The sequence below is a fragment of the Homo sapiens genome, chromosome 9 (assembly GCF_000001405.40).
Source record: "Homo sapiens chromosome 9, GRCh38.p14 Primary Assembly".
Taxonomy (NCBI): Eukaryota; Metazoa; Chordata; class Mammalia; order Primates; family Hominidae; genus Homo; species Homo sapiens.
Genome location: NC_000009.12, coordinates 130377858 through 130405833, shown reverse-complemented (window position 1 = coordinate 130405833; position 27976 = coordinate 130377858). Strand labels below are relative to the sequence as shown.

The 27976-nt window shown below is 57.5% G+C and overlaps 1 protein-coding gene and 1 pseudogene across 9 annotated transcripts in view, besides 3 other annotated features; both read right to left on the bottom strand.

Moving 5' to 3' along the window:
- Positions 1-27976, bottom strand: part of HMCN2 (hemicentin 2) — a 168364-nt gene that overhangs the window by 28290 nt on the left and 112098 nt on the right. For 7 of the 9 annotated variants that reach the window (NM_001291815.2, XM_011518466.3, XM_011518465.3 and 4 more), the window contains 28 exons: positions 26367-26585; positions 23537-23650; positions 22968-23155; positions 22234-22330; positions 21300-21461; positions 21036-21149; positions 20072-20274; positions 19310-19391; positions 17294-17425; positions 14714-14857; positions 14471-14630; positions 14260-14384; positions 13716-13899; positions 12525-12622; positions 11826-12092; positions 11259-11449; positions 10726-10807; positions 10487-10623; positions 9769-9910; positions 9521-9665; positions 8179-8306; positions 7127-7283; positions 6202-6323; positions 4887-5051; positions 2938-3045; positions 2506-2640; positions 1959-2093; positions 775-965 (listed from right to left, as the gene is read on the bottom strand). In NM_001291815.2, coding sequence (NP_001278744.1) covers positions 775-965; positions 1959-2093; positions 2506-2640; positions 2938-3045; positions 4887-5051; positions 6202-6323; positions 7127-7283; positions 8179-8306; positions 9521-9665; positions 9769-9910; positions 10487-10623; positions 10726-10807; positions 11259-11449; positions 11826-12092; positions 12525-12622; positions 13716-13899; positions 14260-14384; positions 14471-14630; positions 14714-14857; positions 17294-17425; positions 19310-19391; positions 20072-20274; positions 21036-21149; positions 21300-21461; positions 22234-22330; positions 22968-23155; positions 23537-23650; positions 26367-26585 — 4127 coding nt within the window. The other 2 variants (XM_011518469.3, XM_011518470.3) reach the window with 2 other exon arrangements.
- Positions 5269-5565, bottom strand: RN7SL665P (RNA, 7SL, cytoplasmic 665, pseudogene; annotated as a pseudogene).
- Positions 15527-16034: an enhancer, noted in NCBI's record as "H3K4me1 hESC enhancer chr9:133265187-133265694 (GRCh37/hg19 assembly coordinates)". NCBI's record gives its function as "activates a minimal SCP1, AML or CMV promoter by ChIP-STARR-seq in naive H9 embryonic stem cells {active_cell/tissue: H9 hESC(naive)}" and the evidence as "EXISTENCE:reporter gene assay evidence [ECO:0000049][PMID:30033119]".
- Positions 16890-17423: an enhancer, noted in NCBI's record as "H3K4me1 hESC enhancer chr9:133263798-133264331 (GRCh37/hg19 assembly coordinates)". NCBI's record gives its function as "activates a minimal SCP1, AML or CMV promoter by ChIP-STARR-seq in primed H9 embryonic stem cells {active_cell/tissue: H9 hESC(primed)}" and the evidence as "EXISTENCE:reporter gene assay evidence [ECO:0000049][PMID:30033119]".
- Positions 23301-24216: an enhancer, noted in NCBI's record as "H3K4me1 hESC enhancer chr9:133257005-133257920 (GRCh37/hg19 assembly coordinates)". NCBI's record gives its function as "activates a minimal SCP1, AML or CMV promoter by ChIP-STARR-seq in primed H9 embryonic stem cells {active_cell/tissue: H9 hESC(primed)}" and the evidence as "EXISTENCE:reporter gene assay evidence [ECO:0000049][PMID:30033119]".

The window sequence follows — 27976 nt, the reverse complement described above, 5'->3', positions numbered from 1 at the left end:
GGTCACACAGCTAGCAAACGGGTCAGCATCACCACCGTGCCCCTGCCCAGCCCTGCAGCATTCACATGCTCTACTGCTTCATAACCCCAGCCCTGACTGCATGATCGCAATAGCCAGTGTTTACCAAACACCTACTGTGTGCTGCCCTGTCCTCAGAACTTGACCTGCACTGCAGGCCTTGCTTTTGGTGCCCTGATAGAGGGCCCAACAGGGGCTCCAAGAGGAGGAGTTTTATGGTGCATTCAAGCAGGGCCGGTGCGCTCACCACTGCACCCCCAGGCTCCCTGGGTGGCCGGGTCCAATGCCTCTGACCCCTCTAGGTGTGTCCACTGAACCCATCTGGAGAGGGTCTCATCATAAAATTGCAGAATCTGATGAGTGCTGAGGGGAAGGAGGTTGGGGGTCCCACCCATACCCCTGGCTCAACACTCCCCAAAACCCAGAGGACGGTTAATGCCAACGCATGGTTGACAACAACTGGGTAGACTTTCAGGACACAAAGTCATCACCGTATCCCTGAGCCCTAGTCCGAGTTCCCTCCCTTCCCCAGGAGCTGGCTACCGAGGTCCAGGTTCAAATTTGGGTTCTGCCTCTTGGCAATGGTGGACAACTAGGTACACTTTGAGCCTCAGTTCTGGCTGTCTGTACCCGGGATGGTGACACTGATTTCCCCAGGCTCCCAGGGTTAAAGGCTGCATAGTGCTCAGCGCAGAGCATGACAAACAGGGGTCTCAGCCATTATTCCCTGCTGTGCCCCTTGGGGCAGTGCCTCACCTCCAAGTTCTTCACCAGCAACTCCCCAGAAGGCTGGATGGTGAACTTCCCCTCGGCGCCCGACACAGGCTGGCCATCTTTGTCCCAGGTGATGTTGGGCTCAGGACTGCCCCTCGCCTTGCAAGGCAAGAAGGCGTGGGAGCCTTCGGTGGTGGACAGGTCTGGGAGGCCATTCTCGATCACTGGTGGGACTGCGGGCAGAGGGAGGCCCACTCGGAACCGGGGCTCAGGGAGGCGGCTGACACCATCCTGGGGCCCTTGGCCTTTGGCCCAGCCCTTCAGCCCTCCCTGGCCATCAGCTGCCCCCTCCAACTCCCTAGTCATAGGCCATTGCCCGTGCTCAGGATGATTTGGGGACTCCCTGAGTTTGGTGTAGCTGTGACGGTGATTCCATTGCACCTGTGCACACGTGTACACACACACACACATGCATGCACATATACACGCACACACACAGAAGACTAAAAGCCGCAGGACAGAGGCCTTGGGCAGGGTCCACTTGGACCTTGTACTAGGCCACCTCCAGGAACAAAAGCAGGGCAGCTGTCACAGAGCATCCCTGCGGAGGAGCTATGCTGGGCAGAGTGAGGGTCACTGGCTTGGTGTCTGGCTGGTCTGGTGACCAGCGATGCTACAGGTCCCAGGGGAGAGGAGCACGCTGGACAAGAAGCGGAGGAATCCTGGAGCCAGGAGCCCCTCTGAGTTCACAGCCAGAGTCTGACTCCAGCCCTACATAGCTGCGGGCGGGGATGGCCACTGAGATACCACAAAGCAGGCCACTGGGGCCAAGACATGACCGGCCCATACTGAATATTCCCAGCAGACTTTGCAGATTTTTGGCCAGTGATGCCACCTGATCTTTGAAGCCAATGATTGATCAAACTAAGGGAAGGGCACATGTAATTGTGTGTGTGCCAGAGCAGGGCCAGAGAGGCTACAGCTACTGGAAACCAGAATGAATGAGGGATGCTAGACTTGTGTTCCACAGGGCCAGAGAGAAGGCAGAGGGGATGGGAATTTATGTCTGAAACCAGAACTCAGGCGCACAATGAGAGATGTTTTCCCCTTAATTCCTTCTAGAACTATAAGCAGTGTGCCCTGCCAGGCAGAGAAGGGAGAAGCTTGCAGAAGCCTCAAAGCCCCTCAGTTGCCAGGGCCCACCTCGGCCCCGTCCTCACTCCCACCTTGCACCACCAGCCGCGTCTTCCCCATGGCACTGCCCGCACTGTTCTTAGCGATGCAGAGATAGTTTCCAGCATCCTCTGGGCTGGCATGGGCAATCCGCAGCTGTCCGCCTGGTAGGACCTGGGTACTCACTCCTGAACGAGGAAGAAGAAAATCGGGGGCCTGGGAACTGGGACTGGGGACCCCCGAGGTGGGCAGATTGGGCTATTCTGTCTCACAGGCAGCAAATGACTTGCTGGGGTCACAGAATGACCAAGGGACAGAAGGAGCCAAGAAGCCTGACCCTGAGCCCAGCTCAGCTGCCCCCTCCCGACCTCCCACCTCAGCCACCGAGTGCTCGGATGGCATCTCAGGCCATGGTGACAGGAGAAGGGTTGGGGAGGGGGAGGCCAGAGCAAGGGTGGGGGCGTATCTGGGCAGGCCAGGGGCTTTCCAGGACCTCTCAGCAGGTCTGCGGGGTCTCCCAGGGCAGGAAGCAGGACTCCCCCCCTGCCCAGACCCACGCTCTTCTCTTCCCTTCCCAGGCTGGCTGCCAGGGGCCCTCACCAGTAGCGACGTTGAGCCCTTCCTTCTGCCAGGTGATGGTCGGCCGGGGGATGCCTGAGGCCTCGCAGGGCAGCAGCACCTCCTCCTCTGCCACTGCCCGAACCACGCTGGGCAGCGGCTTCACCACCGGGGAGGCTACAAAGGACGGGGGTGCAGAGGGCCCTGAGAATGTCCTTAACACAACTCCTCCAACCAGCGGGCCTCGGAGCATCAGAGAGAGAGGCCTCTAAGGAGAACGGGGGTTCTAGAAACATCGGCCACAGCAACAAGGACGCCATGGCTGATTCTTTTCCTGCCAAAGAATCCCATGGGAGACAGGTCGGGGCCTCTGAGACCCGGGGCCTCACCTCCATCCTGAGCCCCACCTGCCTCTGGCTCTCCACCTGCTCCCCTGGCCCTAGGAACTCTGGGGTCTGGACCACGGACCCTTACCTTGCACAGTGAGGAAGACGTGCTTGTGGGCTACGCCGGCAGAGTTGCGGGCTGAGCAGGTGTAGCGGCCTGCGTGGATGGGGAGGGCCTGCCCGATCTCCAGGGCGCCTGTTGGTGGGAATCAGGGTGAGGGGATCAGGACAGAGGTCCCCAGGGATGGAGGTGGCAGGGCTCCTACACAACCCCACTCTGTCTCTGGTCACTCAACCTGCCTCCTTTGCCCATTTACAAACAGTCTGGGGGATGTGACTGTATGGGAACCTGACATCTAGGTTTGCCTCTGTGCCCTGCCCAAAGCAGAGACATGGGCGAGTTCCTTCCACTCTCTGGACCTCAGTTTCCCCATGTGCACAATGAAGAATCAGACAAGATGGTCTCTAGACCCTTTAGGCTGTGAAGTTCCAGGATCTGCCACTCCCCTGCCTGTAATCCCCCACTCACAGTTCCACATCCTGTCATTCTCACCTTGCTCTGCTAAAAACTCACCTCCTCTAGGAAGCCTCCCAGGATTACTGCCTCCTCTCCTCCCTTTATCCTCCTGGCCTTAGCCTTGGTTACTCAGTGAACACCATTTTAACCTTCCCAGACTGCAGGCTGCACCTTGGCAGTCAAGTGACGAGGGTTCTAAATTGTGCTCCGTGGGCCCCTGGGGGCCTGCTGGGTGGGGGAAGGAAGCAAGGCCCACGGCACTCTGGCCCACCCACAGCCCCTGTCCCAGCCCCAGATGGAACCAGAACTGTGGTTTGTTTCACTTGTTGGACTTTGCTGTTACCACTTATTACACTTATTGGAAAGAAGTTTTTGTTTTGTATTTTGTTTTGAGACAGAGTCTCACTCTGTTGCCCAGGCTGGAGTACAGTGGTGCAATCATAGCTCACTGCATCCTTGAACTCCTACACTCAAGCAATCCTCCCACCTCAGCCTCCCAAGCAGCTGGGACCACAGGCATGCACCACCGCACCCAGCTAATTTTTAAAAATGTGTTTGTAGACATGGGGTCTTGCTGTGTTGCCCAGGCTGGTCTCAAACTCCTGGCTTCAAACAATCCTCCTGCCTCAGCCTCCCAAAGTGCTGGAATTACAGGCGTGAGTCCCTGCGCCTGGCCTGGAAGGAAGTTCTATTGCTTCAGAAGAGTTTGAAAATCACAGGTTTGGCCACTGGTTCCTAGACTTTAGTGTTTCGCTAACGAACTAACAAATAAATTTGGAGACTCTCCATAAAGCTTCCAACGTTTTATTTTGACAGGCAAAGACATTTTAAAAATCACCATGTTAGGCCAGGCATGGTGGCTCACACCTGTAATTCCAGCACTTTGGGAGGCTGAGAAGGGCAGATCACCTGAGGTCAGGAGTTCAAGACCAGCCTGGCCAACATAGTGAAACCCCATCTCTACAAAAATACAGAAATCATGCCTACATGATGGCAGGTGCCTGTAATCTCAGCTACCTGGGAAGCTGAGCCAGGAGAATCCCTTGAACCTGGGAGGTGGAGGCTGCAGTGAGCGGAGATAGCTCCATTGCACTCCAGCCTGGGCAACAGAGCGAGACTCCATCTTAAAAAAAATCACCATGTACTATTATCTTAATATCATCAAGAAAAGGAAGTTTCAACACCAAAGATAACTTCAGAATACAGGAGGATCTTTCTGATGGGATTAAACCAGGTTTACAAAAACTCCCAGGGAGCTATTATTTTTCTTATTTTGCCATGAAATAGCACTTGTATGCCAGAGGGCCTTGGGGAACCACTGATGGGTCTCAACACTGCAGAGCATGGAGGAGAATATGGAGCTCAGAGAGGGCGAGAGGGTCCTCCCAGGTCACACAGCCAGGAGAGGCAGTGCCAGGCCAGATAGTTCCATCCTATTCCGCCATGTGACCTTTCACCCCCTCTGCCTGCTCTCCCAGTCTCCCCTCAGCTGCCTCTCTCTGTGGCTTACCCTTACTTACCCGATGGTGAGACACGATAGCCACTCCCCCGAGCTCCTAGCTGGGCGCCTGCCTTGCTCCAGGACACGGTCGGAGCTGGTATACCCGTGCTGTGACATGTGAGGACCACAGGTGCCATCATGGTCACGGTGAAGTCTGTCTGGTCATCGGCAATGGTGGGAGGCACTAAAACCCAAGACAAGGCTTGAGGCCCTGCCGGCGGGCACAGGGCACTCACGGCCACAGGGCCAGGGGGTAAAGCTAGTACACAAGGTGACATCAGTGACAAAGGGCCAAGGAGGGAGGTGGCAACAGAGGGAGAAGTCACATTTGCCCACTCAGCACATCCTTCTGGGCACGGGGCTATAGTTTTTTTTCTTTAAAAAAAAAAGTGTATTTTTTCAGAGATGGGGTCTCAGTATGTTGCCCAGGCTGGAATGCAGTGGCTAATCACAAGTGTGATCCTACTGCTGATCAACATGAGAGCCTTGATCTGCTCTGTTTCTGACCTGGGCAGGTTCACCCTTCCTTAGGCAGCCTGGTGGTCCCCCGCTCCCGGGAGGTCACCATATTGATGCTGAACTTAGTGCGAACACCCAATCAGCATAGTGCACTATAGCTCAGGACTCCCTGGGCTCAAGCGACCCTCCCGTCTCAGCCTCCTGAGTAGCTGGGACCATAGGCACATGCCACTGCACCCAGTGGGATACAGCTTTCTATAGAGACCCTGGCCTAGTAACTTCACAGGGGGTTACTCGTGGGTTTCCCACTTGGAGTAGGGGAGGCCAGAGGAGACCTCCAGGGGAAGTGGCATTTAACCTGCGATCTGAAGGGAAAGCAGGTGTTTGCTGAGTGAGGGGAAGAGTGTTCCCGGCAAAGGCAACAGCGTGTGCAAACCCCTTGAGGCAAGAAACAAGAAGCTGAGCAGCTTGATTAGACCCTGGAATGAGGCAGGTCTGGCGTGAGCTGAATCTGGCAGGGCCAGACCACACAGGACCTGGTGTGTCCAGCTGAATTGTTGCATTCTATCCTGGGGGCAGCGGGCAGCTGTGGAGGGAGGGATTTTTAACGGGGGTGATGACAAGGTCAGATTTGAGTTTAGAACATTCTGGATTTGCGAGGGGCCTCTCCTGTGAGCTCCCGTGTGCCAGGAACTGTGCTGGAGCTGGGGTTATGCCAGTGTGGCCCAGCAGGATCTGAGAGACCTTCCTGGAGGAGGTGTCCAGTGCAGCACAGGAAAAAGCCACACAATTCCCTGCTGGCAGGGAGAGCACCCAAGAGCGGGAAGGCGCTGCCCCCACCCCAGGTGTCCCCCTCCACCTCTGCCCCGACTCACCATGGACGGTCACCTGGTAGAGCCTGTGGGCCTCGCCCACCTCATTGCTCACCACGCATTCAAACTGGGCTGAGTCCTGGGGGCCGGGGGCCGTGAGGAGCAGGGCGTTGGAGGGCAGGAGCCTGGGGTGGACAGACAGACGGCCAAGTGGCTGCTGGGCTGACAGAGACCAGCTGTGGCTTTCTGGCTGTGGGGGTCTCACGCCCATTTCCCCTTCCTGTATCTGACCTCCAGCCCTGACTCTAGAAATGTCTTCTAGAAGTTTCTGCCCCACAGGTCTAGCTGGTGGATTTTTGAGTGATTTTCGTTTTCATCCCTGTTTCTCTGTACATTGGTTTTCCAATTTTTAAAAATGGACATTCTTTTTTTTTTTTTTTTTTTTGAGACAGTCTCGTTCTGTTGCCCAGGCTGGAGTGCAGTGGCACAATCACAGCTCACTGCAGCCTCAACCTCCCAGGCTCAGGGGATCCTCCCATCTCAGCCTCCCAGGTAGCTGGGACCACAGACACCCACCACCATACTCTACTAATTTTTAAATTTTCTGTAGAGATGGGGTCTCACTATGTTGCCCAGTCTGGTCTTGAACTCCTGGCCTCAAGCAATCCTCCCACCTCAGCCTCCCAAAGTGCTGGGACTACAGGTGTGAGCTACCACACCCAGTTCATGTTTTGTTTTTAGACAAGAGTGACTCTGGTGGATATAAATAAAGCCCAGATGTCTCTGTTTAGCTGTATATCCCCAGTGCCCTCACCCCTATCTCAGTGTGAAGACTCTCTGATCCCCAAAGTTGAGACACAAGTTCTGGTCCTGACTCCGGTGAGACCTGAGCACACCCCGCCCCGTCCCTGCCCCATGCCCCCGTGAGAAGAGAGTGCCTCCCCGCCCTGTGCGTCTCAGGAAGCCACCGCAAAGTCCAGCTCGTTACCGGTAGGCGCCCTGCTGCAGGCGGAAGTCCAGCTTCTGTCCGTCCTTCCACCAGACCACCAGGGGCTTAGGGGAGCCGCTGGCCTCGCAGGGCAGCAAGGCTGGGGTGTGGGCGGTCAGGGTCAGGTTGGAGGGGCTGGGGGCGATGGCTGGAGGCTCTGGGGAGAGCACAGTGGTCAGGAGACAGGTGCAGGGGGCACAGGGGCTGGGGGCTCTCTGAGGCTGTGCCCAGGGGCAAAGCCACTGCCTACTGTCTTCCACCCATCCCTGAGGGAGCACAGAGGGAGAGGGCAGGAGAAAGCCCCGAGACAGCGCTTCCAGCAGGGTGTTTTGGGCTTTCCCCATCCCTGAGCCTGGCACCCCCTCAGTGCCTTTCCTTGACTGAAGCCTCCAGGCCTCCACTCCCATCAGCCCCCACCTGAGGCCAGGGCCCACCACAGCAACCTCTCACAAGCTGATCTGTTGGAGGGGGAGGAGACTGGGGCATCTGATTCTAGTGATTTTGAATTTTATCCTTTCACATGTTTTACTTTTTTTTTTTTTTTTTTTTTTTTTGTAGACGGAGTCTTACTCTGTCACCCAGGCTGGAGTGCAGTGGCGTGATCATGGCTCACTATAGCCTGAAACTCCCGGGCTCAAGTGATCCTCCCACCTCAGCCTCCCAAGTAGCTGGGACTACAGGCACGTGCCACCATGCTTGGCTAATTTAAACATTTTTTTTTTTGTAGAGATGGGGTCTCACTATGTTGCCCAGGTTGGTCTCAAACTCCTGGGATCAAGTGATCCTCCTGCCTCGGCCTCTCAGACTTGTTTTACCTTTTGTACATGGTTTCTTACTTAATCGAATCGCTGTTCTGTTACGTAATATATGCACTAAAATACATCTGTGTCCTTTGAGTGTGCATGATCACAACTTTTTACTAATGGGCTTCATGGTCAAAAACATTTGAAGACCATTGGCTCTTGGCCCCTACAGCTGGGGTGACTCAGAAACTAAGAAGGACTGGACCCCGACAGGGACTGGACACTGAAGGCCTTCCCCAGGCCACCTACCCAAGACCCGTAGGTCACGGCCTTGACGATCGGAGCCAGCAGAGTTGGATGCCAGGCAGAGGTAGTGGCCGGCGTCCTGGGCAAGGACTGGCTGGATTCTCAGGGAACCCTCAGGCAGAATTTCAAACCTAGAATGGATGGGGGTTGCCCTGGAGATGAGCAAGCCAGTGGGGTCTGGAGCAAGGCTGTCTCTAGCAAGACCCTTCCCTCTGCCCCCACTTTCCCAGTGAGAGGATGCTGATATGGTTTGGCTCTGTCTCCACCCAAATCTCATCTTGTAGCTCCCATAATTCCCACATGTTGTGGGAGGGACCTGGTAGGAGATGATTGAATTGGGGGGCGGGTCTTTCCCGTGCTGATCTCGTGATAGTGAATGGGTCTCACGAGATCTGATGGTTTTAAAAACGTAAGTTTCTCTGCATAAGCTCTCTCTTTGCCTGCTGCCATCCACGTAAGATGTAACTTGTTCCTCCTTTCCTTCCACCATGATTGTGAGGCCTCCCCAGCCATGTGGAACTGCAAGTCCAATAAACCTCTTTCTTTTGTAAATTGCCCAGTCTCAGGTATGTCTTTATCAGCAACGTGAAAATGGCCTAATACAGATGCTAACTTTGGAGGTCAGAGTCTTGCATCTGTGAGGCCAAGGTCAGGGGGTCAGAGCCATGAGCAGCTCCCCACAGCCCAAGCCAACATTGGAAAGATGGAGAGAAGGGCTGCTTTGGGCATCTCCAGCACCCTCCTGGGCTTGACCTCTCCTGAGACGCAGAAGGCGCAGCACCCTGCTCTTCCTGAGAGCAGCCCCTAGATCTGAAAAATGCCCTTTCCAAGGGCCATGTCTGTACTGTGCAATCCCGCCCCTGGCCACAGTTGATTGGATGGGGGATGGACACATCACTCAGGCTGGGCCAATGGCATTCTGTGCCCTGGGAATTTAGAGTTGGGATTCACAGACAACTTGCTAGTGAGCTGAGGAGCTGTAAACCTGGGGCTGGGGGCCACGGGGTTGTCAGGGGGTGTGTTTCTCCCATGTTCACCAAGGAAGAAGGTAAGAGAGAGAAAGAGATGAAGCCTACACAGAGAGAAGCTGAGAGAAGCTTTAAAACCATCAGATCTCATGAGATCCATTCATGCCCCTCTACCCCGCCCCATCTATCAAGGCTTCTGATCAAGTTAAACAAGCAAGAGACCTTCATGAGTGGTGGGCCTGTCCTTGTGTTCTGAGACACCCCACGTCCTGATGATAAAGTCACTTTTCTGCTCCAATTGCCCAAGTGAGTTTGATTTGCAACCCACAAAGTGGCACCTGAGAGCCTCCCTGAGGCCCACCCCTTCCCTCTCCCACCTGGGGCTCCTGGGATCCAGGGGGACCCTGTCCTTCCGCCAGCTCACGAGGGGTGCGGGCACGCCGTCGGCCTGGCAAGGCAGCAGGGCTGTCTGGTTCACTGAGACGTTCACTGCAGGTGGTCCTGACCGGATGGTGGGCACCGCTGGGGAGGGGCACAGAGGGAGTGGTGCTGGGAGCTGTGGCTCTAAGGGGGTGGGCAGGGTGGGGTAAGGTGGGCAGGGTGGGGTGGGGCGGGCCCTACTCACTGTGGATCTCCACGCGGAAGGCGACACTAGTGCTGCCTGCGGCGTTGCGGGCTGTGCAGCTGTAGTCGCCGCTGTCAGCCGTGCTCAGGGCCTGCAGCTGGAGGAACCTGCCCCGCTCCGGGAATTGTGTGTGGGCGTCCTCCTGGAGAGCCCCGCCAGGGTGGACAGACCCTTATCAGTGCCCAGCTGCGTCAGGCCACCCGGCAGCAGATGTGGAAGACTGAGGAACTGGTGAAGCTGGACAGTGGCTCTGTACTTCCAGGCTGACCGCAGGCCCTGACTGTGCCCCGCCGAGGACCCTCTAAGGAAATGCACTCCTCTGGGAGGAAATGCATCCCCTTTCTCTGGAGTTCCTGTCAGAACATCCACAACCCTGAATCCACAGCCGCAAACTGACCCCATTTGAGGGGTGGGCACGGAGAGCCTTGGTCACCGGTCCAGGCCACACAGCTGCTAAGCATAGCTTGAAGGAGCCAGGGGGAGAATACTGGGTGGGCCTCGGAAGCCCTGAGTGACCTGAGCCTTGCCTCAGTGTCCCCATCCATAAAATGGGAGTGACAATGACAATGGCGGGGGGTATGACACCCGGGGAACAGGGTGCAAAGTGCAGCTCAGAGCGGGCCCTTGGCACCCGCTCTGGATCTTGGATCCGGCCAGGTCAGGTCTGAGGCCTGAGCGGGACAGAAGGCAGCACCCTGGGGCCCTGCCTGGCGCCCACCTGCAGCACAATGCCGTCTCGGTGCCACGTGATCTTGGGCGCTGGCTCTGCCTCCACCGAACACTCCAGGACCAGCTGCCCTGGGGCCAGGCCGACCACAAAGCGGGGGCCTCGGGGCCCAACAATGTTTGGAGGGGCTGGGAAGGGGGTGGCACAAGAGGATATGAGAGGGGGACTCACCCCTGCCGCGAGCCCGTCCTGCCTCCCGGCCCTGCCCCCACCCCACCCCCACCACCTACCTTGAACCCTGACCCGGAAGCTCTTCTCAATTGCACCTGCAGGGCTTTCAGCCAGACAAGTGTACAGCCCAGCATCCCTAACCTGGGGATGGAGCGGGTTGAGCAGCTGCCCCTGGCCCCTCTCTGCCCGCCTCCCAATCTGGTTTCTTTCTCATGCATCGAGGGACCCAGGATTCAAACTCAGCCCTGCGAGGTCTGCCATCCACCTCCCAGCCAACCCACGCCCTCTCCCTCCATCTCACTGTTGCTTTAGGGCTGGTGTGATGCCTGCCTCTTCCCAGAAGTCCCCCTTAACTGCACCAGCCCTCCTCTGGCCTAGATGGGGTCACCTGGTTTTGGCATCAGCCTGGGCCCTGACCCTGCTGGCAGCTCCCAAGGGCACGGCCAAGGTGGGTCACCTCCACACCCTCACACCCCACACAGAGGAGGTGCTTCAGCCCAACTTTGTCAACTGCCCACTGGGTCTGGGGAACCTGCAGTCCCTCCCCTCTCCCCCAACCCCCAGCCTCGCCCCATGGCGGCGGCACTGGTACCTGCACATTCTCCACCCGGAGCACCCGTGTGGCTCTGCTGTTGTTCTCCAGCCTGGTCAGGGCCTGCCCGTCCTTATGCCAGGTGATGTTGGGCTGGGGGGTGCCCTGGGCATCACAGAGGAGCTCCATGGGGGCGCCGGGGGTCAGCGACAGCTCTGTAGGCTGGCCTGAGTCCTCAATGTGAGGGGGCTCTGCAAGCCACCATGGAGGGGAACACACAATTGACACACATTTCCGGGACAGCACCGCACTTGAAAACACTGTGCTGAGTCCAGGGGCTCTGCTCCCACATTTTGGTGGCCCTTGTTCTTGCATCTGCCACCAAGGTTTGGTGGAAAGAAACCAGGAGCACAGCCCTGGGAGAATCAAAGCCCGGCCACCCACTCCCCGCAGGCAAGGAAGGTGAGAGAGGCATCCCAGCCAGAACCAAGTTCCCTGAGTTCTGCTCCCAGGTGGCAGTCCCAGGTCTCCAGGGGACTCACCTCCCTCACTGTCCTTCCCATTGCCCCTAGAGTCCCACCCTCTCCCCCGAGCCCAGAGAAGCTGGCCAGAGGCCAGAGGACCCACCCATGACGGTCAGCTGGAAATGCCTCCTGGCTTCCCCCGCCTCGCTCACGGCCACACAGGAGTAGGTCCCCGAGTCACCAGCTCCCACTGCCTCCAGCTGCAGGCTGGGCCCCTGCTCGAGGCTCTGGGACAACAAGGGTTCCCCATCCTTCATCCACGACACGAGAGGCAGGGGAACGCCCCGGGCCTCGCACGGGAGTTCCACCAGGGAGCCACGAACCACCACCACGTCATTCTGGAACTCCACCGGCTCCAGGACAGGGGGCACTATGGAGGGCAGAAAGGTGGGCAGGAACCATTTTATTCCAGGACTCTCATCTCCAGTACTCAGCTTAGACATCACCTCTTCCAGGAAGCCGCCCTGGTCCCCCAAGGCCAGGTGAGGTGCCCTCCTCTGTGCTCCCACAGCATCCTCTCCATCCCCTGGTGTCACTAGTTCCCTGGAATTGTGATTGTCTCTTTACTGAGCTGCTTCCTGCCTCTCTGCCCCCGCCTATCCTGGGCATACCAGAGTGCCCACAGCCACTTGTGAGGTACAAACGAGCAATACAGTGAGTCAGAGACTGAGCCGCAGTGTCCGCTCTCCTCGACGCCCCCAGGGCCCATCCTTGGTTCCACCCAGAAGGGCAGGGGGGCCAAGGGCCTTGATTCTCACCCACCAAGGCCAGAGACCCCCTTGCCCCACCCCCTGCTCCATACCCTGCACCTGCAAGGTGAAGTTCCTGTCCGCCACGCCAGCTGGGCTTGCGGCCACACAGGTGAAGATGCCAGCGTCTGCCAATTGCACCTTGGAAATCCTGAATCCCCCGAGAGGAGAGGGAGAAGGAGACAAGAGAAAGGGAGAGAGAGAGAGGAAGAGAAAGGGAGAGAGACAGGAGAGGCTGGCTGCGTGGAAAGACTTCCTCCCTTTTCCAACCTTTGTCTCCCAAGAGCTTGCTGGCCAGAGGGGGCGGGGTGACTGAGCCCAGCCTTTGCTTAAACTCTCTCTTTTTCTTTTTTTTTTTTGAGATGGTGAGATGGTGTCTCACTCTGTCACCCAGGCTGGAGTGCAGTGGCACGATCTCGGCTCACTGCAAGCTCCGCCTCCCGGGTTCACGCCATTCTCCTGCCTCAGCCTCCCGAGTAGCTGGGACTACAGGCGCCCGCCACCAGGCCCGGCTAATTTTTTGTATTTTTAGTAGAGACGGGGTTTCACCGTGTTAGCCAGGATGGTCTTGATCTCCTGACCTTGTAATCTGCCCGCCTTGGCCTCCCAAAGTGCTGGATTACAGGCGTGAGCCACCGCACCCGGCCTGCTTAAACTCTTTACCTGGGTTCCCGGTGCCCCCAGGATAAAGCCTCCAGCTGCCTCCACCCCTGCTGCCTGCTCCAACCAATCTCATTCTGAAGCCAGACCTCCTGCCTCCCAAATTCGGGAAGCTCCACGTCCCATATGGACAGCTTGGCTCCCCTTCCTCTACGCAGCCCTCTTTGCCCTCAGAGCTCACTGGAGTCATCTCAGCTCACTGGCTTCACTCTCTGTCCTCCCACTTTCTCTCAGCCCCTTTCGCCCCAACCACTCCTCCTGAGCTGCTCTTGCCCAGTCCCCAGTGACAGGCACAGCACCAAAGCCAACAGTCCGTCCTCAGGCCTCGTCTCCTGTGGCCCAGTTGGTCTCTCCTTCCCTGAAACCTGACTTCTCCTGCATCTCCTCCTACCCCCACCACCTCCCCTTCCCTGGGTCCCTGAGACCCATCCTAGCATTAGCATCTGGGGCGCAGTCCACACTCGCTGTGGGGTGGGGAGTGGGTGTTGCAGCCAGTCCTGGCTTCCAGCACCTCCCATTTGCTGACAATCCCCACATGTCCACTCTGAGTGGAATAGCCAAGGCCTGTCCACCGTCTCCCCTACCTGAGGGTGTGGCCAGAGCCGTGGAGGAGGGTGCGCTGGGAGAGCGGGAGGGGCAGGCCGTCCTTGAGCCAGCTCACGTGGATGGGCGGGGAGCCCCGCACAGGGCACACCATGGTCACCAGCTCCCCAGGCCTGCTCACCAGGGTCCCCGAGCCGTCTGCTCCCTGCTTGATGGTGGGAGGAACTGAGGGTGGGTAGAAAAAAGAGGGGTAGTGCGGAGGTCTTGGGAGGAAGGTGGGCTCCTCCCAGGGAAATCCCAGAAGTGGAGACCTGGACTTCTGCCGCCAGCAACCACAGTGGTCCCTTGTGAAGGATGAGGCCCGCTGCATGGGGGACACAGCCACTCCCTGACTCTCTTCTCACCTCCCGAATCTCCGCTATACCCTGGGCTGGCACTATTGTCCTCTAGTTTGAGGATGGGCCATGGAGGCCCAGGGAAGTGAGACCCGTGGCCCAGGACACAGTGTGGGCTTTGCTCACATGTCGCCTTATCTCCCGTGCCCAGGCCCACGCATCACCCTCCAGATGCCCTGGGGCTCCTCACCCAGCACATTCACCGTGTGCAGCCTGGCGTCCTCCCCGGCTGGGTTGTGGGCCACGCAGGTGTAGGCACCCGCGTCCGAGGCCCTCAGGCCTTTTAGCACCAGGGAGCCGCCGTCCAGGTAGAACCTGCCACAGGGAAGGAGGGCCCAGGGCAGAGGCGTAAGGGAACATGGGCCCTACCGCCTCTGGGGAGGGCATGGGCCAAGTCTTACCGGAGGTGGGGGCCCATGTCCTGGCCCAGCGGGCTGCCGTCCTTCAGCCAGGCCACGTCCGGCGGCGGCTGCCCATCGGCCTCACAGTCCAGCCGCACCTCCTGCCCTTCCAAGACATGGTGCTCCCGCGCCACGCCCGAGCTCCGGATCCGGGGGGCCACTGAGGCAGGGGTGCAGTGAGGCCCTGGGTGATGGCAGGGGCTGCCATGGGAGTGGGACAGGAGGGTGCAGGCGCAGACCTACCCAGCACTGCTACCACGAAGTCCTTGCGGGCCTCAGCCTGGGTGTTCTCAGCCACGCACGTGTAGGTGCCCGCCTGGGCCGGTTGCAGGCGGCTCAGCTGGAGGCGGCCCCCCCGGGAGACCACACCGTGCACCGCGCTGCTCTCTGTGGGACAGAGGGGTCCCCTGAATCCCCCAGCCCCTTCTTGTGCTCATAGGAAACTGAGCCCCACAGAGGCAGAGGCGCCTTCTTATATGTCCCCACCTTCCCCAGCCCAGTCTCTGTTCCTTAGAAGCCTTCCTCATTTCCTTCCACTTGAGACAGCTCTTCCCAAGGGACCCCCTCCCTTCAGTGTCCAGGATTTGCTCTCAGGCCCAGCTCTCAGCTCCCATCCTCTCCCTCCCCGCCCTGCCCCTCTACCCCCATCAATCAAGGTTTCTGCTTTTGCTTTCTCCCTCCATGCCCTGCCCCTCTACCCCTGTCTATCAAGGTTTCTGCTCAAGTCAAACCAGCCCCTCACTGACCCTACACAGGTCACACTGGGGCTTCCCCCTGGGCCTCTGCTCGGGCTCCTCCCACTCCCGGCCTTCAGGCCTCCCCCTTCATTCTCTCCAGCCACACCCCTGCCCAAAGCCATCTCTCACGGCCCCAGCCCAGGACGATCTCCTTGCCCAGATCCTCATGGATCCAGCCAGCCTCTCAACACAAAGACACGAGCAACTGCCCCATGTCCAGCGCAGAGCCTGGGAATCAAGATGAGGGCAGCTCAGTCCCTGTCCTCAAGGAGTTCACAATGTATCGGGGGTGGGGGCCATGAAACAAGGGGACCCAGTGCTGACAAGCCCTGTGAGCCCCTGATGGAGCCGGGGAACTTGGGGGACAGGAAGGGTGGGGGAGGGCTTCCAGAGGTGGTGAATCTCCGCTGAGACGTGAATGTTGAGCAGTAGTCAGCCGGGGGGAGCAGAGGTGACCACGGGAGCCTGGGTGGGTATTCCAGGCAGGGAACACATGTGCCAAGAGCTGGACGCAAAGGGAGGTGGGGCCTGCAGCCACCTGACCCGCGAGAGGCGATGACACAGGTCCACACAGAAACACGAACACGGAGGTTCACAGCAGCACTGAGCATCTCAGCCAAAAGATGCAGCCACCCCAAATGCCCATCAACTGACCAGTGGATGCACAACACGCGACACAGCCACACAATGGAATATTCAGCCACAGAAGGGAATGAAGAGAAAAATTTAATTTTTAAAAATAAGGAAGCACTGGCTGGGCACGGTGGCTCATGCCTATAATCCCAGCACTGTGGGAGGCCGAGGCAGGTGGATCACCTGAGGTCAGGAGTTCAAGACCAGCCTGACCAACATGGTGGAACCCCATCTCTACTAAAAATACAAACATTAGCTGGGCGTGGTGGTGCGAGCCTGTAATCCCAGCTACTCGGGAGGCTGAGGCAGGAGAATCGCTTCAACCCAGGAGGCAGAGGTTGCAGTGAGCCGAGATTGTGGCACTGCACCCCAGCCTGGGTAACAGAGCGAGACCCCGTCTCAAAAAAAAAAAAAAGAATGAAGTACTGATCCATGCTACAACACGGATGAAACTTGAAAACACGCTAAGTGGAAGAAGCCAGACACAAAAGGCCACACACTCTATGATGCCATTAATGTGAAATGCCCAGAACAGGCCAATCCACAGAGACAGAAAGCAGATTTGTGGTTTCCTGGGTCTGGGGGAAGAAGAAATGGGGAGAAAACGGGGAGTGATTGCTAATGGATACGGGTGTCCTTTTGGTGATAAAAATGTTCTAAATTTGATTGTGGTGATGGTCACACAACTCTGTGACTGTACTACAAATCACTGAATTGGATGTTTTCAGTGGGTGAATTATATAGTGTGTGAATTATATCCCAATAAAGCTGTTACTGAGAGAGAGGGGCAGGTTCGAGGAGCCAGCACAGCCACGTTTAGCGCATGGAGGGGCAGGGAGAGGTGGCTGGCAGTGCCGGCCCCTGCTGTGGACGGATTTCCACCAGACAAGGGACCAGCTCCGAGCTGTACCTTCAGACCTTTCTGCCCCACGTGGAGCCTGCGTGAGAGGCACAGTGGGCCCAGGAGACCATGTGGGGCTTCTGCCGTCATGCGGAGGAACGGTGGGCACAGCAGCGGCCAGAATGGGGAGGCCTGGATGGGGGATGGGGTTGACCAACGGCCCAGCTAGGACCGAGCTGAGTCACCACCAAGGAGCAGCTCTGGGGGCCAATGCTGAGCCCAGTGTCAGCCAGTGGGCTTTCCATGGCCCTCAGCACCTGCCCTGCGCAATGGAGAGCCCACGTCTGCTGTCTCATGGGAGCTGACTGAGGACGTGGATGCAAAGGAGCTTCCAAACCCTCACAGGAGACGCTCTTTATGTTTGGATTCCAAGGGCCAATAAACAACGCTTCACTCAAACACAAATGGTGGGGGGGGGGGCAACACGGCACTGCCAGTCTCTGGTTTTGCCAAGATCATCAACAACCAATAACTTCCTTCGTCCGCTTCTGCTGTCATCTTATTAAAGAAAGGAATGCTTTACGCGAAACAGACAAGGACAGATGTGCTCACCCACAGGCATCCTGTCCTTCAGCCAAGTGACCGTGGGTGCAGGGACCCCGGACACATCACAGGTCAGGACCAGGGGGCTCCCAGCCACCTGGCTCACTGTCTCTGTCTTGGGGTTCTCAAATGTTGGGGGCACTGCAGGAAGAAAGCCAGACTGTCAGAATTCTGAGACTCTTCCCCAATTTCCTTCCCCTCAGGCAGATCAGGGAGGCCTAAGAAGCCCTTCCTGGTAGTTAGGAGTTCCCATTCTATGTTTTATTCACAAATGTAAATAGAACCAGTGCCTGGCTATTTTAAAGCATACAAAGCAAAGCTCCAGCGGGGTCTCCTTAGCCCAAGGATGGTAAATGGGAGGCTCACTCACCCACAGTCCTTAACCTGTGCCAGGGCAGACATCACTAATCGATCCCAACACTCTCTCCTGCTCCGCCAGGATGAAGTCACACACCCCAGGCAGACACCACCAGCGGAACAGAGTCAACCAGGCTCAAGATGAAATGCCTTTGCCCTCAGGGACCAGATATTCCCCCTTTCCACTGTTCATCAATGTAGCCATCAGAAAGGGCTGGGAGCTTTGAGCAGCAAGCCTGGTGTCAGTCCCTTTCTTGTTACTTTATTTTTTATTTTTTGTAGATTCAAGCTTCTCACTATGTCGCCCAGTCTGATCTCAAACTCCTGGGCTCAAGTGATCATCCCTGCCTCAGCCTTTCAAAGTGCTGGGATTACAGGCATGAGCCCCTGCACTCCATCTTGTCAGTCCTTTTCAACGATTGTGTTGTGTATGGCTCAGGGTTGCATGTGCCCACCGCTCACCTGGTTGGGAGGCTACTGGCTTTGGCATCTGTGGCAGATGGCTGGTGTCCCCTCAGCCCGTTCTTCCCACTGTGCATAGCAGAGTTTTAGCTGAGCCCACGATCACTCTAGCAGAAACTACATTTCCCAGTGTCCCCTGCAGCCAGCTGCCTGAGCGCTCACTAATGGAATACACGCAGAAGGGACAGGTGCAACTTCTGTATGAAATAAATGCTTGCCCACCACTTCTGCTCTTTTCTGCTTCCTGTGGGCCAGGACACGATGCCGTGTCCCAGTTTCAACCATATGCACAAGAACAACACCCTAAGAAATGGAAGATCAACAGGAGGGAAGGAACCCGGGTCCCTTAACTACCGCATGGAGCCGAGCTACCCACCAGCCTAGACACCCACCTCTGGGCTTTTGAATAAGAGTTAAACTCTCTCATTTACTCAACTATATTTTGGGGTCTTTTTGTGGCACGGCTAAGTCTCTATTCTAACTAACATGACATCTGAGCACCAGAAAATCTGGCCAAGTTTCCTGGACAGTGTAAATAGGCTCCTCCTCACCCCAGCTGGAGCCACATGTCCAATCAAACAGCATCTGTGCTCCATCCTTGGGTGGATGGGACAGGCCCCCCTGGGGATCAAGATGCAGGTAACGTGGCCTCCTGTGTGTCTGATCTCATAGGGCTCCTTCATCTTAGTGCCCACATGCCAGGCCCTGTGCCCAGCACTTTATAGACACTGTCATGGCGGTCCATGGGATCCATGGCAGGTCCACTGTGCCTGGCAGGCAGCTACTGCTTTTAGACTCATTCACTGAAGGTAAACCTTAGGCTCTGAGGGACAAAGTCACTCTACTAAGCTCCATGAAGCAGGTCACTGGCAGAGTTCTATTTGGAGCCTGCTAACCTTAGTTTTTTAAATTCTAGAAATTAGCTGGGTGCAGTGGCTCACGCCTGTAATGTCAGCACTTTGGGAGGCTGAGGCAGGAGGTTTGCTTGAGCCCAGGGGTTCGAAACCAGCCTGGGCAACATAATGAGGCCCCATCTCTACAAAAAGAAAGAGATGTAGATATAGATAGGTACACAAATTCTAGTCATTGTGCCTTCAGCACTTGGCAGCACTGCCTCTGCCCAGCTATTGTCTTTGTCCTCCTTGGCAGCCCTGGGTGTTGCTAGGGGCTCCACAGTCACGTTGGCTAGGCTGGTCCCTGGCTTACCCTGGACGGTGAGGGTGAAGGTCCGCACGGCCTCCCCAGCCACGTTGCTGACTTTACAGCTGTATAAACCTTTATCCGATACCTGAAAGAGGAAGAGCACACAGTGGCTGTGTGCTGGAGCTGGAAGTGGGGTGCTAGGGCTCCCCAAAAGCATCTAGGCCCCCAAAACTTCCAGAGCAGGGGCCTCCCAAATATGCTGGTCCTGACTGGGGAGCCAAAGGGAATCAGGACGCTCTGGCCTTTTCCAAGAGCCTCAAGAAGCAGAAGGGCCCCTCAACAGTGAATACACAGGCTCTGGGGACCTCCCTCCCTGGGCCAAGCTGGCAGGAAGAGGTCCCCCTTGCTGTGGGGATGGAGCCTGGCCAGGAATGGATTTCGAGGGGGACAGCAAACATTCATCCAACAAACACTGTGAGCATCTAATCCACTCCACGGAAGGAGGGAGGGAGGGCAGGGCAGACTCCCAGGAGTCTCAGATGGTCAGCCGGAGCGGACCAGATAAAAGCATCTAGATGCTGAGGAAACCGAGGCAGGAAGGGCTCATGCCATGACTGCAGGGCTGGGTCTGGAACGTGACTCCAGAGCCCTGAGCTCTGCCCATGTCTTCCACCCTGGAAGCTGCTAATCCACTCGGTTTGGGGTCTGACAGGCCAAGGAGGCAGCAACTCACATCCTGCCCACCTTCCTCCCCGCAGCTCGCCAGGGCTGGGAGGCGACTTTCCTGCAGCGCTCATGGCTGCCCGTGCCCCCAGGGTTGCTCACCTGGGCTTCCTGGATCTCCAGCCTCTGCCCACCCCGCAGAGCCTGGGTCCGCTGTGCCAGGACCAGGGGCTGCCCATCCTTGTACCAGGTCACAGTTGGCTCAGGGAGCGCATCTGTCTCGCAGCTCAGGACAGCTTTGTCCCCGACCCTCACCAGGACCGCATCCTGGGGACCTCTGGGAGCCTGCCTGAAGGCCGGGGGAACTGGGGGCAGGAGATAGCAGAGTGAGGTGCTGCAGCTGTCCCTGCGCCCTCCCCACTCAGCCACAGGGAAAATGCCAGTGGAAACCCACCAGGGTCACACAGCAGACCCAGCCCCGGGGGCTGGCGCAGACCCAGGGGAGGTGGAGGAAGAGAACCAGGCCAGCACGCCAAGGACCCACTGAGTGACCAGGGACAGCCTCCTGCCTCTCTGAGCCTCAGCCTCCTAGATGGGGGAGATGCTGTCGCCCGCCCCCACCCAGGCTTTTTCCTACAGGGGCAGGCCCCAGCTGGGTTACAGCTCTCTGTCGAGGCCCGTTCAGCCCCTGTGGCTCCAGTGAACCAATGTAGAAGCCCTCCTTCCCCATGGCTGTGAGCCCACAGGCCTAGCGCAGTGTCTGGCTGGTGTTCGTGCAAGTGAATGGACCAGCCCCGGGGCTAGAAAGAACCTTCCAGCGAGTCCTTGCTAAAGACACCTTGGGCCAGCTTTTCCCCAAGAGGATTCTGAAGACCACGAGCCTTGAAACAGGCTCCACTGTGAAACAGGCTTCCCCCACCACACAAGGCTTGGGGAGGCCCCTTCCCCAGCCAGGCTCCTGGGGCCCGTCCCACTGCTCCCCCTCCTCAGAGCTGATCTGTGCGGGCGTCCCAGCCTCCCCCTGTGCCTCCTGGCCCTCTCCTGTCTATGTTCTCTGGGGGAGTATGGGCTGAGGGGTGACTGAAGGAGTGGGGACAGTACAAGTTGGGGACAGACATGGACATACCCAGAACACTGAGCTGCACCAGCTTCTGGTCTCGGCCGGCAGCATTGAGGGCTTCGCATGTGTACATCCCGGAGTCCGACAGCCGTGCTCTCCCCAGCTGCAGCGTGTGGGTGCCTGCCGGGGGAAGCCAGCCCCTCACACCAGCATTCCAGCCCAGCCCCCAGTCCTAAATCCCTGCACGACTGACGGCCCTGTCCCAGGTCGGGGGAGCAACTCTCTCCCCATGTAACCTTAGAGCTGGGCCGGACACCTCAGTTTACCCACCAGGCAGGAGGAAGACCTCTTCACCCAGGGAGAGGGCCTGGCTGTCCTTGTACCACGTGACCTCGGGGTTTGGGTGAGCGTGGACGTCGCAAGGGAGGGAGACGCTGCTGTTGAGGATGGCAGTGACCTGCTCCAAGTCCAGGCCTGCGATTCGTGGCGGGACTATCCCCACAGCCACCACGGTAGAGAAAGGCATGAGAATCACACCAGCAGGGGAGCACAGAGCCCAAGAGAAACCCTGAGCCTCACCCAGCTCCTGGGGCTTCACCTCGGCACAACTTCAAATAATTCAGAAACCTCCATTTGCCATGACTCTCTTACACAGAAGGACACTGGGTAGGGGATCAGAGAGGGAGAGTCACTGTTCCAAGGCCACACAGCTGGTCAGTGGCAGAGCTAAGATATCAATTCAGGTTTGAGCCCATGACCTTGAGGGCTCAACACTATCTTCCTCCATCTCCAAGACCATCTGGAGACAGAACTCACAGCCACTGCAGTGCGGTGTACGTCATGAGTTGCAGAGGTTAGGAGTGCAGGCTCCGGGACAGTGAGACCCCCCCAATCCCACTCCTCTCTGAGGGCGACCTCCCTGAGTCTCCTCCCACAGCTGCAAAGCTGGGTGGGCTAACCTAGCTCTGCTGGAAGGAGTCAGCCCAGGGAAAGTGCTCAGCCTCGTGTCAGGTACACAGTAAGTGCTCAGTAATGGTGGTGGTAATGCCTGGCCATCTCCAAAGTTGCTTAAAACCACCTGGGGTTGGCCCAGTAGTGATCAGGGCCCCCCAAATGCTCTCTGTCTCGGGATGTGGCTGGGGCCAGCTGGGATCCCTGAACTCTGATTGCAGGACCCAGAGCCCAGGATACTGGAAGCCCCAAGGCAGTGCCCCCTGGGAAGGGAAAAGGAACCCACAGGGGCTGCCTGCTCAGCCCAGCTCACCTTGAACCCTGAGGGTGAAGAGCTTCTCAGCGGAGCCCGCCTGGTTCTCGGCCACACACATGTAGCTGGCGGCGTCGGCCACCTCTGCCGTGGAAACCTGTGGGTGCAGGGAGCCATGCCTGGGAGATACCTGAGACCCCTTGGACACCACCACCCCCAGGAATGACTGCGAGGAATCCCTCCCATCCCATGCCAGGGAAGCAGGCACCAGGCAGCTCATGGAGACCTGGAACCTCCTCCATCCAGGGCCTTGTGTGGCGCTCAGGAGCGGGCGTGTGAGGTTGGTGTTGGGTGGTTCTCTGTAGCAAACCAGATGTGACAAGAGCCTCCCCCACCCCTGTGGAGGGCCGTGCTGTGTGTGTTGGGCTCCCAGGGTCCCCGCAGCTCTGTGTCTGCACATGGGGTGACTCAGGGGGCTGCCTGATGTCTGAGTGCTGGGCACGGCTCTGCACGCGCCAGCTGGTGATCCCGCGGAAGGCTGCTGTGTGCGGTGCTGGGCTCTGGGTCCCGCACCCATGTGCATCCTTTGCTAGGTGTCTCCTGAAGCTCTGGATGCCGTGCACAGGCCTGTGCTGGCCCAGCATGCCTCCTCACAGGTGATTCTTGGCTGGGCTCCAGCATGGTTCCCAGCAAAGAGCCTCATTTGCAGATAATGACCCCTCCCTGGCTCCCAGACAAGTGGTGCTGGGCCTCAGCAGCCACTGCCCCTAGCCCGTGCAGGGGGCTGCCCTGACCTGCAAGACTTGCCCGTCCTCCAGGACCTGCAGCCGTGGGCTCGGGGAGAAAGGCAGCCCATTCTGGAGCCATGAGATGGTGGGCACGGGGTTTCCCAGGGCCGGGCACTGCAGGCTGACGGTGCTGCTGGCATTGACTGTCACCTCTTCCACCAGCTCCTCTGTGTCACCCAGGATCACAGGTGGGGCTGGGGGTGGGGGAGAGGGGGCTGAGGGGCTGGCACAGGTCCCTGGGGGCGGGGGTGGCCGTGGAGGCGAGAGTGGCACTTGGTGTCAGGTGCTGGTCGGGATCCTCATGCCCTTCTCTCCAAGCCCTCCCAATCCCTGATGCAGCTAAGGAATCGGGGGCACAGAAAGGGTTGTGATTTGCTCAATGTCACACAGCTAGGAAGCTTCTGACTTGGAACCTGCGCCCAGTCCTGCATGATTCTTTGAGGCCGAGCATGTAACTCCAATTTCAACCTCTGAGTACAGCAAGACTGTGTGCACTTTGCCTCGGCCCCTTCTGAGGGAGGCCCTTACGGCGCTTGCAGTCCCGGGAATCCCCACCTGCAGGCCCCGCCACTCACTCAGCACCAGCAGCTCGTAGTGCAGCCAGTCCTCGCCCACCTCGTTGGAGGCCTTGCACGAGTACCTCCCGGCGTTCTCTGCCCGCACCAGGGGGATCTGCAGGACCCGGCCTCCTGCAGGGACACGGGACAGAGGCCTGGGCTCAGGCACGAGAGTCACCCCCAAGAGCAAAGACGCTGCCCCCTCCTCTGGAGTGGACCTGGGACATGTGACTGTCCCTGCCTCATCTGTGAAATGAGGAGAATCGGCCTGTCCTGCCCAGCTCACGGGTGGAGTGGAGTCAAGTCAGGGTACAGCCACCACTCGCTGCGTGCCAGGCCCTGGGCTGCACATTCTCGGCCTGTCCCACAGTGCCTCTGTGGGGCACACGCTGTTGTCACTCCCATCTTACAGATGGCAAACCTGAGCCTTCATGGCAGTGCTGGGGGTGACAGCAGTGGTTGCTGGCTCAGCTCTGCTGTTGTGCTGAGCCCAGCTCCTTGGTAAGGGCAGAGTCCAAGCAGAGACTCAGGAGGCAAGGGAGGCAACTCCTGGGGCTGTGGTGGTTGGCGGGGGTAGAAGTAGGGGTAGGGGCTGGGGAGGCATCGCCTGGGACCCTCTGTGATCAAAAGCCAGCCAGGGGCCAGGCACAGTGGCTCTCGCCTACAATCCTACAATCCCAGCACTTTGGGAGGCCAAGGCAGGTGGATCACCTGAGGTCAGTAGTTCAAGACCAACCTGGCCAACACGGCGAAACCCCATCTCTACTAAAAATACAAAAATTCCCCGGGTGTGGTGGTGCACACCTGCAATCCTAGCTACTCAGAAGGCTGAGGTAGGAGAATCACTTAAACCCAGGAGGCAGAGGTTGCAGTGAGCCAAGACTGCCACTGCACTGTAGCCTGGGCAACAGAGTGAGACTCTATCTCAGAAAAAAAAAAAGAGCCATCCAAGGCCAGAGCCTGGCATCTATGGGGGCTGGCGTTGGTCTCCAGTGGGGGCCTGGTTAGGGTTACTGTGTGCTCAGAATTCTAGGCTGGGGCTGGCCGGCCCGGGCTGTGGGTAGCTTGACCAGGTTAAGAGCCTGCAGAGCCCAGTGGCCAGGATTGAGGCAGCAGTGGCATTGTAGGGGTCAGTTGATGTTTGAGGTCAGTGTAAGGTCAGGGTAAGAATTCAGGTCAGCCGTGACCATGACGCCTATTTTCTCAGGATTAGAGAACAGAGGTTAGAGGTCAGTTGTCAGGGTGAGAGGTGAGTGGTAGGGTTGGAGGTAAGTGGGCAGGACTGGGGGGCAGTTGGTGGCTGTGGTCTGGGTTCAGCTATTGGTTGGGATTAGCTGATGGTTAGAGTCTGATCGGGATCAGCAGGTCAGAGCCTACTGTGCACCCAGGACTTGGGGTCAGGATCAGTGGTCAGTGGCCAGGTTAAGGGGTCTGTCCAGAGGTTTCTAATAGGAACTAACAGTGTTCAGTAAGAGTTGCACTCCTGGATCTGCAAGAGGCCTCCTTCTTTTTTTTTTTTTTTTCTTTTTTTGAGATAGTCTTGATCTGTCACTCAGGCTGGAGTGCAGTGGTGTGATCACGGCTCACTGAAGCCTTGACCTCCTGGGCTTAAGGGATTCTCCTTCTTCAGCCTCTTGAGTAGCTGGGACCACAGGTACATGCCACCACGCCCAGCTAGTTTTAAAATATTTTGTACAGACGGGGTCTCACGATGTTGCCCAGGCTGGTCTTGAATACCTGGGCTCAAGCGATCCTCCCACCTCAGCCTCCCAAAGTGCTGGGATTACAGGTGTGAGCCACGGCGCCCAGCCACCTCCTTTTCTTGCAAGCACCAAAGTAGAAATCCTGGTCTGATTCTGCTCATTGGAGACCTGTGCAACTGACCACTTCTCCCCAAAACCAGCCCCATTGCCGGCCCATCTCTGGCAGGACACAGTTCGAATCTCAAACAGAGAGACCACCCACGCTTCCCTCATGAGCCAGGTGGGCCGGGCATTTCTAAGCCCCACCCCTGGAGCCTTTTAAGTCAAAATCACCTACAAAAAATTATTCTAAAATAAAAGGTTTACTTAAAAAAATTAAATTACCTTAAATAAACAAATACCTCTTAAGGTGGTGAAAGAAAAAACAAAACCTGGCTGAGCGTGGTGGCTCACGCCTATAATCCCAGCATGTTGGGAGGCCGATCCGAGACGGTGGATCACCTGAGGTCGGGAGTTTGAGACCAGGCTGGCCAACATGGAAAAACCCCATCTGTACTAAAAATACAAAAAGTAGCCAGGCGTGGTGGCGCATGCCTGTAATCCCAGCTACTTGGGAGGCTGAGGCAGGAGAATCACTTGAACCCAGGAGGTGGAGGTTGCAGTGAGCCAAGGTTGCACCATTGCACTCCAGCCTGGGCAACAAGAGCGAAACTCTGTCCCAAAAAATAAAAATAGAAAAAAATAGAAAAAAAACCCAGACACAAAAGACATGAGTTCAGCCACCACAGTGTGCCCTTCAATGCCCAGCTAGAGCTTCGTCAGCGTTTGGGGTCATGAGCTTTGTTGACGATTAACAAAGAAGCCAGCTGCCTCTGCAGAGAAAGTGGCAGCTTCTGCCGATCATTTAAGGACATTACAGATCTTGAAGCCCAGAAGGGCATGCCCCATGATAGGAGGCTCTGCTCTATAAACCAGAGGCAAAAGGCAATCCAGTCTTTGCCTTCACACAGGCAAAGAACTTGTAGCCCCAGTTTACAAATTGCAGCTAAGGTCCAGAGTGGTTGTGTGCTCTGCTTAAGGTCACACAGCAGGCAGCACACAGGAGAGCTCAAAGCGCCCACTTTCTTCACGCACCCCTGACCCACCTTGCAGCACAGACACCTCATCCCCGGCCGAGAGGGGCTGATCCTCTCTGTACCAGGTGAGGTCCGGGGGTGGGATCGCGTTGGTGTCGCAGTACAGGTAGGCTGGGTTGTTCTCCACGATCTCCCTGTATTCCGTGACTCCGCCCCGGGCCTCCTCCTCCCGGGACAGGATCTCGAAGGCTGCACTGAAATCACCCACCTTCTGGAACATGGGGGGCACTGGGTGGGGGAGACAAAGCCCTTAGGAAGCACAGCAGAGGGGTGGGGAATGCACCTCTGCTCACGGAGATTCTCGTCCCAGCCTCTCCCAAGCGGAAATCCATTACTTGAGCCATTCCCTTGGGTCAGGGCATTTGTTAAATTCCCTCACTCCCTAAACCGGTGTTTATTGAGCAACTAGTATGTGCTGGGCACTAGGATAAGGCTCATTCCCTAAGCAGCTCATGTCTAATGGACGCTAAAGACTCCCTGTAACATGGAAATATTTTTCACAGTTGGAAGCCAGATACTAAGCTTCAGCCGATGTTTGTCTATCAGAGCATAGAGGCACAAAATCATCAGCTTTAGAAATGGAGGGGGGCCCTCAAGGTCACCTGCTCTGATCACCTGCATTTTACAAAGGATCAAATTAAGGCCTGGAGGGGGCCGTGTCATCCCCAGGTTGTCCCCAGGTAACATAACCAGTTCATGACAGAGCCAGAGCTAGAGGACTGGTGGCCAGAAGCACCGGAGATGAAAAAGGGTATGAGCAGCCCAGAGCAGGTGTTCCTCCTGCCAGGACACTCCATGGGCATTGTGTAGCAAAACCTGGTTCTGAACACTTATCCATCGCCCAGCTTGCCTGTCAGCCTCCTGCCTCCCTGCCTCCCCGCCTCCCCGCCTCCCCATTCTAGCCTCCCAGCCTCCCGCTCCCAGCCTCCCCTTCCCACCTCCCTGCCTCCCCCTCCCAGCCTCTTTCCCAGCCTCCCCATCCCAGCCTCCCACTCCCAGCTCCCTGCCTCCCAGCCTCCCCTTCCTACCTTCCACCCTCCCCCTCCCGGCCTCCCCCTCCCAGCCTCCCTGCCTCCCCCTCCCAGCCTCCCCATCCCAGCCTACCAGCCTCCTCATCCCAGCCTCTCAGCCTCCCCTTCCCAGCCTCCTCCCCAGCCTCCTCATCCCAGCCTCCCAGCCTCTCCCTCCCAGCTTCTCTGACTCCCGGCTCCCTCCTTTCCTTCCTTCACTTTTTAAAAAGGAAAACGTCAAACACTGACGCAAGCAAGAGAAGAATATAATGAGCCCCAGGTACCCACAGGCAGTTTCAACCATTGAGGCCGCCACTCAGCTTACTCTCGACCAGAGATTCTGAAGCAAATCCCCAGGTTTCCCTAACAACGCGAGAGGCATCTGGCAGAGGGGCTAAGAGTGTGGCGTTCTGGCTCAACCAGACCATTCCAGGCTCCACCACTCAATTCTGTGGTTTGGGGCCACAGCCCTCATGTCTTGACTTTGGTCCCTCAAGGCAGAGGGGTTGGGGCAGGGTGCCGTTCTGGGCTGCTGAGATGAGCCAGTGGGAGATGCCACGGGTGGCGCGTGAGCTGCAGGACACATGGTGGGGGCCTGCGGAGGGCCAG